This window comes from Homo sapiens, chromosome 8, assembly GCF_000001405.40.
Source record: "Homo sapiens chromosome 8, GRCh38.p14 Primary Assembly".
Taxonomy (NCBI): domain Eukaryota; kingdom Metazoa; phylum Chordata; class Mammalia; order Primates; family Hominidae; genus Homo; species Homo sapiens.
The window spans coordinates 108,120,201-108,133,623 of record NC_000008.11 but is presented as its reverse complement, the minus strand read 5'-3'; the positions used below and the strand labels follow the sequence as shown (position 1 = coordinate 108,133,623).

At 42.7% G+C, this 13,423-nt stretch overlaps 1 pseudogene; it reads left to right on the top strand.

The window, feature by feature from the left end:
* Positions 1,441-2,662, top strand: AURKBP1 (aurora kinase B pseudogene 1; annotated as a pseudogene).

Genomic DNA, 13,423 nt, shown 5'->3' with positions numbered 1-13,423 from the left:
CACTTGTAGATAGACTGCCAAAATGCCAACTTGAAAAAAAATCCAAGGTAGGGTCAAATTTTCTCTCCATCTACCATCCTCTCCCTCCCACAGGGTAGTAATCACATCACAGAGAAACCTGAGTGCACTTATTTTTTGCTGCTTGATCCTATTCGCCTGAAAAATATAAATTTTGCTGGAGAAGATTCAGGGAGGAGGTTCTGCATCCTGATTTATTGCTCTTTCCCTAAGAAGTTTTAGCTTCTGAGAATTCTATTGTGTCACAACTGGGGTGGGATTTAGCTCTTGCTCTGAAGGGATTGAGTCTTGTTGACAAAATTAATAAAAGGCATGATCTGGCACCTCAAAGCACTGTGATGTGGCAACTTATGAAGAATAGAGAAGGGACAGTTTGTTCAGTTGCTTTACTTTTCTTGTGGCCTTTTAGCACTCTCCTGATGCACAATGATGGATAAGCTCACAGGTCCCCGCTAGACTCTGTGTCATGCCTACACTCCCCTAACTCCTCACACATAAAACAGCAGATGCCCTGGATAAGGGGAACAGAAGATGAATAAGTGTATTTTCCCTTCAGTGACAAACATTCTTACTGATGTAGGTGCCCAGTGAATGCATGTTAAATGGATGATCTGGGATTTGGGGAAACAGTGGAAATGGGGGCAAAGGGCTGGGAGAGAGCGAGGAAAAGAATGGTGATCCACACGTGGGAAGACAAAGCTGGTGTCATAACCTGCTCTGCTGTCTCCACCTGCCAAATCCTTTGAGATCCTGGCTTGAACAATCAGAATATGTTCAACATGTCCACATGGAGAACAGCCTTTCTCTGTGCTAAAATGGTTGGGGAGTAGTTTTGGGAGAGTTTCAATCTGTGTTTATTTTGGTGTTCCAAGAGGAACCCAAACCCAATGACATCTTCTATTTTCGTGACACAGTCATGTGAATCAGCACTGGTCAGCAATGGTCCCTGGACAGGTTTCGTCTCAGAATTATCCCCAAGGGTGTGAAGAGAAACCTCTTATTTCTTGGGCCCAGAAACTATATTTCAGTAGACAAGAAGAAAAGAACATTTTTGAGAAATATATGAGATGATGAAAGAGGATTGCCTTCATTTTATTTTATTTTTTTCCTAGTTGTAGCTCCACCTGCCTTGATTTTAATTATGAAAAATAATACAATTGCTTTTAAATGACAAAATACACAATTATAGTTAGGATCATGATTTCTGAATGTGTGGCGTGCTTACGTACATTCTTACTGGAGCTGTGCTTGAACTCTTGAATTCTAATTTAGCTGTTGTAAAGTCATTTTTCAAGCTTTTTACTAAGTCGGGCGTCAGAATAATTTTATAAACAGTTGTGGTTAATACTTCCAGAGTGAGAAAAAATGATGAAAATGCTGCCAGTTCTTTTTGTTTTGTTTTGTTTTTTAAGGCAGATTTCCGTCGTTTGTGGTGGCTGGGAGAGCGGCTGTGCCTCGGGCCTCAGCTCTCCTCCTGCTTTCCCTCCAAGGATGGCCCAGAAGGAGAACAGTTATCCCTGGCCCTATGGCAAGCAGACGGCTCCAGCCGGCCTGAGTACCCTGCTCCCGCGAGTCCTCCCGAGGATCCCCACCGAAGCTGCGCGTGAGCTCCCGAGCTGCGCAGACCCACAGCCCGCAGCGGCCCCTGGCCATGAGGTGGTAGAGAACAGTTGTGGGAAGCGCAGCATCTTAACGCGGCCCTTCCTGGTCGACGACCTTGAGACTGGGCGTCCCCTGGGCAAAGACAAGTTTGTACATGTGTACTTGGCTCGAAAGAAGACAAGCCATTTCATCGTGGCCCTCAAGGCCTTCAAGTCTCAGATAGAGGAGGGCGTGGGGAGCACCAGATGCGCAGGCAGATGGAAATCCAGGCCCCCTTTCAGCATCCCAACATATTGAGTCTCTACAACTATTTTTATGACCTGAGAAAAATCTACTGGATTCTAGAGTACGCCCCCGCCACCCCTACCCCCGAGGAGCTGTACCAGGAGCTGCGAAAGAGCCGCACCTTTGACAAGAAGCCAACAGCCACCATCACGGGGGAGGTGGCAGATGCTCTGATGTACTGCCACGGGAAGAAGGTGACTCCCAGACATGAAGCCAGATAATCTACTCTCAGGGCTTGAGGGCGAGCTGAAAGTTGCCGACTTCGGCTGCCCTGTGCACGCCCCCTCACTGAGGAGGAAGACAAATGTGTGGCACCCTGGACTACCTGTCCCCAGAGACAATTGAGGGGCGCGCGCACACCGAGAAGGTGGATTTGTGGTACATCGGAGCACTCGGCTATGAGCCGCTGGTGGGGAACCCCACACACAATGAGGCCTATGGGCGAATCGTCAAGGTGGCCCTAAAATTCCCCCTTCTGTGCCCATGAGAGCCCCAGGACCTCATCTCCAAGCTGCTTAGGCATAACCCCTCAGAACGGCTGCCCCTGGCCCAGGTCTCAGCCCACCCTGGGATCCTGGCCCATTCTCGGAGGGTTTTGCCTCCCTCTGCCCATCAGTCTGTCCCCTGGTGGTCCCTGACATTCACTCGGGGGCGTCTGTGTTTGTAAGTCTGCATATGTGTAGGGGAAAGGAGCGGTCCTGACCTGTTCCCTTAGCTGTCTTCTACTTCCTTTGTTTAATAAAGACTGAAGCTTTTTTTTTTTCTTTTTTTGGTAAATAAGTGTAAAAAAGGAGAATTTTGAAAAGACCAAATCAATTATGAAGCCTTGGTCTACATTGCTCATTGTAATGCTTGGGTTGGAAAAGGTGGCTTCAGCTTTAATATGTTGAGAATTAGAGGAACATAAAGTGGATTCAGAATCCTAGTGGACTTCTCTAGACAGCAAAGCATGCTTGGAAGATTTCCTGGGGGATTCTGAGACACTGCCAGATTTGAGCTCAAAGGCGGAGTGAGCTGTTCATAGCTCTTGTTCATAGCTCTATCCATGACGATTATCGAAGACTTGCTACCCAGTGAGGACTCAGTAAATAACTGTTGAATAAACCCAGTAAAATAAAATGGGAAAAGTCAGTCTGAGACCTGTACTGGGTTAGACACTGATGATTTAGCAATGAATAAAACAAAATCCCTGCTTTAGGGCAGTGCTTCCATTCTCATGGTGTAGTGCTAGTGTGGAGAATTTCATCCTAATTATTCCACAGCAATGCATTTTTTGCTGAAAAAATATTTTTTTTTCTGGAGTGAATTGCATCAAATCAATTTAATTTCTGATCACTTTTCTGCAGAGTACGTTGAAACCACTTCTAATATTTCCATTTTCATTCTTATTTTCTTACTTTTGTTGAGATCTTTTTTCCTGTGAAAATTTTGTAATGAAAGTTGATTCATCAGTTAGTTCTTTTTTCCACATCTAGTATTGCCAAATATGGCTTCTTTCATTTCTATGTTTTTAACCCCCTTTGGACCCATATTTTTACTAAGTCTAATGCTCACAGGTAAAATTGAAGATCTCACACTTTAACTGTTGCCAATTTTATTTTAGGTTGACTGATTCTACCATATGTTATAAGGGGACAAAGGACGGTAGCTTGTATTTATGTCCTAGCTAATTCTTGACACCCTGCAGGATGGCACTGCATCAGGAGTGAGTCTCCTACATTGCTAAGGCAGCTCTTTGGATCCCTTTGGGTGCTCTGTTCAGAGCGTCAACATGTCCTCTTTCATCTCTAACTTTATCACTTCCCAGGACACTTTAGACGTTGTATGTTCCAGCCAAATAGACTGCCTATTGAATGTTGCTTTCCCACCTTGAGGTCTTTCTTTTTCTTTCTTTCTTTCTTTCTTTCTTTCTTTCTTTCTTTCTTTCTTTCTTTCTTTCTTTCTTTCTTTCTTTCTTTCTTTCTGTTTACTTCCTTCCTTCCTCTTTCTTCTTTCCTTCCTTCCTTTGCTTGCTTTCTTTCTTCCTTTGCTTTCTTTCTTTCTTTCTTTCTTTCTTTCTTTCTTTCTTTCTTTCTTTCTTTCTTTCTCTCTCTCTCTCTTTCTCTCTCTCTCTTCTCTCTCTCTTTTTCTGTTTTTTTGATGGAGTCTCACTGTCACCCAGGCTGGAGTGCAGTGGCATGATCTCGGCTCACTGAAGCCTCCATTTCCAGGTTCAAGCGATTCTCCCGCCTCATCCTTCTAAGTAGCAGGGATCGCAGGCACGCGCCACCACGCCTGGCTATTTTTTTTTTTATTTTTTATTTTTAGTAAAGACAGAGTTTCACCATTTTAGCCAGGCTGGTCTCGAACTCCTGACTTCAGGTTATCCACCTGCCTTGGCCTCCCAAAGTGCTGGGATTGCAGGCATGAGACACCACACCCAGCCTTTTCTTTCTTATGTTTTTTTTGTTTGTTTGTTTTTCAGAAGGAGTCTCACTGTCGCCCAAGCTGGAGTGCGGTGGCTCACTGCAACCTCTGCCTCCTTAGTTCAAGCGATTCTCCTGCCTCAGCCTCCTGAGTAGCTGGTACTACAGGTGTGTGCCACCATATCTGGCTAACTTTTGTATTTTTAGTATAGATGGGGTTTCACTATTCTTTCCTATGTTTTATCAGTTTTTTTTCAGTTCTCTATGAGGATGTTATTGATCCTTCCAATCAGAGGTAATTTTTTTTACATCTTTAATGACACAGATATTATGTTGTTATGCTATGCTATGTTATGTTATTATATATTTATTTATTTGAGACAGGGTCCCACTCTGTCACCCAGGCTGGAGTGCAGTGGCACTATTACAGCTCACTGCAGCCTCGACCTCCTGGGCTCGGGTAATACTGCTGCCTTACCATCCCAAAGTGTTAGGATTACAGGTGTGTACCACCATGTCTGGCGTACTTATTTATAACGTATTAATGACCTTGTCTTATTTTCCATATTGATCTTAAAATTCCTCAAAGGCAGAGTTCATATTTTATTTATATTGATGTCTTATAAAATTATTTTATTATTATTATTATTTTTTGAGATGGAGTCTCGCTCTGTCACCCAGGCTGGAGTGCAGTGGCACAATCTCGGCTCACTTCAAGCTCTGCCTCCCAGGTTCACACCATTCTCCTGCCTCAGCCTCCTGAGTAGCTGGGACTACAGGCACCTGCCACCATGCCTGGCTAATTTTTTAGTTTTTAATTTTTTCACCATGTTAGCTAGGATGGTCTCAATCTCCTGACCTCGTGATCCTCCCACCTCGGCCTCCCAAAGTGCTGGGATTACAGGCGTGAGCCACCACGCCCGGCCTATAAAATTATTTTTTAAAAATTAAGTTGAGGCCATCTTTGAACCCCAACTGCAGTAGGCTAGAAGGATGATCAGTCTGATTCCTATGCTCACCTCCCATCCACTCACTGCCATGACAATCTTGTTCTAGCTGGACTGGCCCTTTCCATTTCTGAAGCTGTGTCCAGTCTGTACCACTCTGGAAGTGTGGGAAGTTTGGGCACGGGGGGTTTCTGGGCCTAGGCTTCTTAGTATCCCATACAGCTACCCACTCTGGTCTTATGAACTCCCAGGGAGACTGACCTGAGATGAGTTTACTTTCCATGGACTTCTTTTCTTTTCTTTTCTTTCCTTTTTTCTTTTCTTTTCTCTTCTCTTCTCCTTCCTTTTCTTTTCTTTTCCTTTCCTTTCTGTTACTTTCCCTTTTCTTTTTCATCCAATTATCTTTTTTCTTCCCTTCCTTCCTTCCTTCCTTCCTTCCTTCCTTCCTTCCTTCCTTCCTTCCTTCCTTCCTTCCTTCCTTTCTTCCCTCCCTCCCTCCCTTCCTCCTTCTTTTTTGTTTTCTTGAGACAGAGTCTTACTCTGTTGCCCAGGCTGGAGTGCAGTGACACAATTATGGCTCACTGCAGCCTTGAATTCCCCAGCTCAAGCAATCTTTGCACCTCAAACTTCCAAGTAGCTGGGATACAGGCATGCGCCACCACGCCTAGCTAATTTTTGTATTTTTTGTAGAAAGAGGGTTTCTCTATGTTGCCCAGAATGGCCTTGAATTTCTGGGCTCAAGTGATCCACACACCTTGGCCTCCCAAAGTGCTGTGATTACAGGTGGGAGCCACTGTGCCTGGCCTACATTTTTTTCTTTTCTTTTTTTTTTTTTTAATTATACTTTTAGTTCTGGGATACATGTGCAGAACATGCAGGTTTGTTACACAGGTATACACGTGCCATGGTAGTTTGCTGCACTCATCAAACTGTCATGTACGTTGGGTATTTCTGCTAATGCTATCCCTCCCTAGCCCCCCACACACTGACAAGCCCCAGTGTGTGATGTTCCCCTCCCTGTGTCCATGTGTTCTCATTGTTCAATTCCCACTTATGAGTGAGAACATGCAGTGTTTGGTTTTCTGTTCCTTTGTTAGTGTGCTGAGAGTGATGGTTTCCAGCATCATCCATGTCCCTGCAAAGAATGTGAACTCATCCTTTTTTATGGCTGCATAGTATTCCATGGTGTATATGTGCCACATTTTCTTTATCCAGTCTCTCATTGATGGGCATTTGGGTTGGTTCCAAGTCTTTGCTATCATGAACAGTGCCACAATAAACATATGTGTGCACGTGTCTTTATAGTAGAATAATTTATAATCCTTTGGGTATATACCCAGTAATGGGAATGCTGGGTCAAATGGTATTTCTGGTTCTAGATCCTTGAGGAATTGCCACACTTTCTTCCACAATGGTTGAACTAATTCACACTCCCACCAACAATGTAAAAGCCTTCCTATTTCACCACATTCTCTCCAGCATCTGTTGTTTCCTGACTTTTTAATGATCACCATTCTAACTGCTGTCAGATGTTAGCTCATAGTGGTTTCGATTTGCATTTCTCTAATGACCAATGATAATGAGATTTTTTTCATATGTTTGTTGACTGCCTCAATGTCTTCTTTTGAGAAGGGGCTGTTCATGTCTATTGACCACTTTCTGATGGGGTTGTTTGTTTTTTCTTGTAAATTTGTTTAAGTTCTTTGTAGACTCTGGATATTAGACCTATGTGAGATGGATAGATGCAAACATTTTCTCCCATTCTGTAGGCCTGTTCACTCAATGATAGTTTCTTTTGCTGTGCAGAAGCTCTTTAGTTTAATTAGATCCTATTTGTCAATTTTGGCTTTTGTTGCCATTGCTTTTGGTGTTTTACTTATGAAGTCTTTGCCCATGCCTATGTCCTGAATGATATTGCCTATGATTTCTTCTAGGGTATTTATGGTTTTAGGTCTTATGTTTAAGTCTTTAATCCATCTTGAGTTAATTTTTGTATAAGATGTAGGGAAGGGGTCCACTTTCAGTTTTCTGCATATAGCTATCCAGTTTTCCCAACACCACTTATTAAATAGGGAATCCTTTCCCCATTGCTTGTTTTTGTCATGTTTGTCAAAGATCAGATAGTTGGAGATGTGTGACCTTACTTCTGAGGCCTCTGTTCTTTTCCATTGGTCTATATATCTGTTTTGGTACCAGTACCATGCTGTTTTGGTTACTGTAGCCTTGTAGTATAGTTTGAAGTTAGGTGGCATGATGCCTTCAGCTTTGTTCTTTTTGCTTAGGATTGTCTTGGCTATACGGGCTCTTTTTGATTCCATATGAAATTTAAAGTAGTTTTTTCTAATTCTGTGAAGAAAGTCAATGGTAGCTTGACGGGGATAGCATTGAATCTATAAATTACTTTGGGCAGTATGGCCATTTTCATGATATTGATTCTTCCTATCCATGAGCATGTAAGTTTTTCCATTTGTTTGTGTCCTTTCTTATCTCCTTGAGTGGTGGTTTGTAGTTCACCTTGAAGAGGTACTTCACATCCCTTGTAAGTTGTATTCCTAGGTATTTTATTCTCTTTGTAGCAAGTGTGAATGGGAGTTCACTCATGATTTGGCTCTCTGTCTATTATTGGTATATAGGCATGCTTGTGATTTTTGCACATTTATTTTGTACCCTGAGACTTTGCTGAAGTTGCTTATCAGCTTAAGGAGATTTTGGGCTGAGACGATGGGGTTTTCTAAATATCCAATTATGTCATCTGCAAACAGCAACAATTTGACTTCTCTTCCTATTTGAATACCCTTTATTTCTTTCTTCTGCCTGGTTGCCCTGACCACATCTTCCAATATTATGATGAATAGGAGTGGTGAGAGAGGGCATCCTTGTCTTCTGCTAGTTTTCAAATGCAATGCTTCCAGCTTTTGCCCATTCAGTATGGTATTGGCTGTGAGTTCATCATAAATAGCTCTTATTATTTTGAGATACGTTCTATCAATACCTAGTTTATTGAGAGTTTTTAGCATGAAGGGGTGTTGAATTTTATTGAAGGCCTTTTCTGCATCTATTGAGATAATCATGTGGTTTTTGTCGTTGGTTCTGTTTATGTGATGGATTATGTTTATTCATTTGCATATGTTGAACCAGCCTTGCATCCCAGGGATGAAGCCAACTTGATTATGGAGGAGAAGCTTTTTGATATGCTGCTGGATTCAGTTTGCCAGTATTTTTTAAAGGATTTTTGCATCAATGTTCATCAGGGTTATTGGCCTGATTTTTCTTTTTTTGTTTGTCTCTGCCAGGTTTTGGTATCAGGGTGATGCTGGCCTCATAAAGTGAGTTAGGGAGGAGTCCCTCTTTTTCTATTGTTTGGAATAGTTTCAGAAGGAATGGTACCAGCTCCTCTTTGTACCTCTGGTAGAATTCAGCTGTGAATCTGTCTGGTCCTGGGCTTTTTTGGGTTGGTAAGCTATTAATTACTGCCTCAATTTCAGAACTTGTTATTGCTTCATTCTGAGATTTGACTTCTTCTTGGTTTAGTCTTGGGAGGGTGTGTGCGTCGAGGAATTTATCCATTTCTTCCAGGTTTTCTTGTTTATTTGCATAGAGGTGTTTATAGTATTCTCTGATGGTATTTTGTATTTCTGTGGGATCAGTGGTGATATCCTCTTTATCTTTTTTTATTGTGTCTATTTGATTCTTCTCTCTTTTCTTCTTTATTAGTCTGGATATCGGTCTATCTATTTTGTTAATCTTTTCAAAAAACCAGCTCCTGGATTCATTGATTTTTTGAAGGGTTTTTCGTGCCTCTATCTCCTTCAGTTCTGCTCTGATCTTAGTAATTTCTTGTCTTCTGCTAGGTTTTCAATTTGTTTGCTCTTGATTCTCTAGTTCTTTTAATTGTCATGTTAGGGTGTCGATTTTAGATCTTTCCTGCTTTCTCCTGTGGGCATTTAATGCTATAAATTTCCATCTAAACACTGTTTTAGCTGTGTCCCAGAGATTTTGGTACATTGTGTCTTTGTTCTCATTGGTTTCAAAGAACTTATTTATTTCTACCTTAATTTCATTGTTTACCCAGTAGTCATTCAGGAGCAGGTTGTTAGGTTTCCATGTAGTTGTGTGGTTTTGAGTGAGTTTCTTAATCCTGAGTTCCAGTTTAATTGCACTGTGGTCTAAGAGACTGTTTTTTATAATTTCTGTTCTTTTGCATTTGCTGAGGGTGTTTTACATCCAATTATGTGTTCAGTTTTAGAATAAGTGTCATGTAGTGCTGAGAAGAATATGTATTCTGTTGATTTGGGGTGGAGAGTTCTGTAGATGTCCATTAGGTCTGCTTGGTCCAGAGGTGAGTTCAAGTCCTGAATATCCTTGTTAATTTTCTGTCTCATTGGTCTGTCTAATACTTACAGTGGGGTGTTAAAGTCTCCCACTATTATTGTGTGGGAGTCTAAGTCTCTCTGTAGGTCTCTAAGAACTTCTTTATGAATCTGGGTGCTCCTGTATTGGGTGCATATATATTTAGGATAGTTAGGTCTTCTTGTTGCATTGATCTGTTTACCATTATGTGATGCCCTTCTTAGTCTTTTTTGATCTTTGTTGGTTTAAAGTCTGTTTTATCAGAGACTAGGATTTTAATCCCTGCTTTTTTTGCTTTCCATTTACTTCATAAATATTCTTTTATCCCTTTACTTTGAGCCTATGCGTGTCTTTGCACATGAGATGGGTCTCTTGTATGTAGCACCTGGATGGGTCCTGACTTTTTATCCAATTTGCCAGTCTGTGTCTTTTAATTGGGGAATTTAGCCCATTTACATTTAAGGTTAATATTGGTATGTGTGAATTTGATCCTGTCATTATGATGCTAGCTGGTTATTTTGCCCATTAGTTGATGCTGGCAAGGTGGCCTAATAGGAAAACTCTGGTCTTTAGCTCCCAGTGAGATCAACGCAGAAGGTGGGTGATTTTGCATTTCCACTGAGGTACCAGGCTTATCTCATTGGGACTGGTTAAACAGTGGGTGCAGCTCATGGAGGGAGAGCTGAAGCAGGGTGGGGCGTTGTTTCTCCTGGGAAGTGCAAGGGTTCAGGGAACTCCCTCCCCTAGCCAAGGGAAGCTGTGAAGGACTGTGCCATGAGGAACTGTGCATTCCACCCCAGTTCCTACACTTTTCCCAAGGTCTTCTCAACCCGCAGACCAGGAGATTCCCTTGGGTGCCTGTACCACCAGGGCCCTGGGTTTCAAGCACAAAACTGGGCGGCCATTTGGGCAGACACCGAGCTAGCTGCAGGAGTTTTTCTTCATACCCCAGTGGCTCCTGGAACACCAGCAAGATAGAACCATTCACTCCCCTACAAGGGGGGCTGAAGCCAGGGAGCCAAGTGGTGTAGCCCAGCGGATCCCACTGCCACAGAGCCCAGCAAGCTAAGATTGATTGGGTTGAAATTCTCACTGCCAGCACAGCAGTCTGAAGTTGACCTGGGACACTCGAGCTTGGTGGGGAGAGGGGAGTCCACCATCATTGAGGGTTTAGTAGGCGGTTTTCCCCTCATAGTGTAAACAAAGCTGCCTGGAAGTTCGAACTGAGTCAAGCCCACTGCAGCTCTGCAAAGCCACAGTAGCCAGACTGCCTCTCTAGATTCCTCCTCTCGGGGCAGGGCATCTCTGAAAGAAAGGCAGCTGCCCCAGTCAGGAGTTTATAGATAAAACTCCCATCTCCCTGGGACAGAGCACCTGGGGGAAGGGGCAGCTGTGGTTGCAGCTTCAGCAGACTTAAATATTCCTGCCTGCTGGCTCTGAGGACAGCAGTGGATCTCCCAGCACAGTTCTCGAGCTCTGCTAAGGGACAGACTGCCTCCTCAATTGGTCTCTGACCCCTGTGCCTCCTGACTAGGAGACACTCCCAGCTGGGGTCGACAGACACTTCATACAGGAGAGCTCTGGCTGGGATATGGCAGGTGCCCCTCTGGAATGAAGCTTCCAGAGGAAGGAACAGGCAGCAATCTTTGCTGTTCTGCAGCCACTGCGGGTGAGGCAAACAGCGTCTGGAGTGGACCTCCAGCAAATTCCACCAGACCTGCAGCAGAGGGGCCTGACTGTTAGAAGGAAAACTAACAAACAGAAAGGAATAGCATCAACATCAACAAAAAGGATGTCCACACAGAAACCGCATTCGAAGGTCACCAACATCAAAGACCAAAGGTAGATAAATCCATGAAGGTGTGGAAAACCAGCACAAAAAGGTTGAAAATTCCAAAAACCAGAATGCCTCTTCTCCTCCAAAGGATCACAACTCCTCGCCAGCAAGGGAACAAAACTGGATGGAGAATGAGTTTGACGAATTGACATAAGTAGGCGTCAGAAGGTGGGTAATAACAAACCCTTCTGAGCTAAAGGAGCATATTCTTACCCAATGCAAGGAAACTAAGAACCTGGAAAAAAGGATAGAGGAATTGCTAACTAGAATATCCAGTTTAGAGAAGAACATAAATGACGTGATGGAGCTGAAAAACACAGCATGAGAACTTTGTGATGCATATACAAGTATCAATAGCTGAACTGATCAAGTGGAAGAAAGGATATCAGAGGTTGAAGATCAACTTAATGAAATAAAGCATGAAGACACGATTAGAGAAAAAATCATGAAAAGGAAAGAACAAAGCCTCCAAGAAATATAGGACTATGTGAAAAGACCAAACCTAGTTTGAGTGGTGTACCTGAAAGTGATGGGGACAAACGAACCAAGTTGGAAAACACTCTTTAGGATGTTATACAGGAGAACTCCAACCTAGCAAAACAGGCCAACATTCAAATTCAGGAAATACAGAGAACACCACAAAGATATTCCTCAAGAAAAGCAACCTCAAGACACATATTCATCAGATTCACCAAGGTTGAAATGAAGGAAAAAATGTTAAGGGCAACCAGAGAGAAAGGTCAGGTTACCCACAAAGGGAAGCCCATCAGACTAACAGCAGGTCTCTCTGTGGAAATCCTACAAGCCAGAAGAGAGTGGGGGCCAATATTCAACATTCTTAAAGAAAAGAATATTCAACCCAGAATTTCATATCTAGCCAAACTAAGCTTCATAAATGAAGGAGAAATAAAATCCTTTACAGACAAGCAAATGCTGAGAGACTTTTACCACCACCAGGCCTGCCTTACAAGAGCTCCTGAAGGAAGCACTAAATATGGGATTGAAAACCAGTACCAGCCACTGCAAAAGCATACCAAATTGTAAAGACTATTGACACTATGAAGAAACTGCCTGGTCTACATTTCTTTCTTCTACCCATTTAAAATATTTAATATTAACTCTTCAGTAAGTTTTTCTAAAGCCACAAAAAAAATTCATCTTCATCAAGCAGTTTCTTTTCTGCCTTCTTCTCAGCAAAATTATCTGAGCCAAGGAAATAGTAAGGCCCTGGCTATCTGCTTGAAATGGGGAAGGGAAAATATAAGAAATAAAAATGTATTATTAGTTGGGTGGAAAATCCTTCCACAAATTAAAGGCTGATAGACTGACTCTGAGATGTAAACATTTATAAAAGTGAAGGGCAAGTCTGAATGTCTTGACTCAGGAGGCCAGACAACTCTAAGCAATACAAAATAGGAAATAAATACTGGCATCTGAGCTCCTGGGAATTTGATAACTAGAAATAGCTAGAAATGTCAAGAAGGTAGGAAGCATGAGGAAGAATTGCCAGAGGGTGGATGGATAGGACTCAGGGGTAGAACACTGGCTTCAGGATGACCAACAGCATTCAGATGAGAATCTGGATCTGGAAAAAGAGGACATTGAGTCACCCTCACAATAGGGTGTTCAAGAAGGAAAAACCTAATTACTGGAAAGAGATGCAAAGATTAACTCTGTGCAGAGGCAAGGCTGACTTCATGCTGTGTTGCTGAGTCACCGAGCTACTTGCTTATGGTTTCAGAATTCCTCCTCTTATAGAAGAAAGCAAGATTGGTCCCCAAGCTGGGGGTGGGGCTCAACTCCTGCAGCAGAAATTTGAGTTGCCCCAGGGATGGGGAGTGGAGGGATGGGGTAAGGAGTGGAGAGTGAGTCAGGCCATTAAACCAGACTCGATGCACAGTGTTTGAAAAGGACACTGGCATAAAAATTAGTCTTCACACACTTCTCCACACATGGATGCTGTCAACCCTTAACTTTAA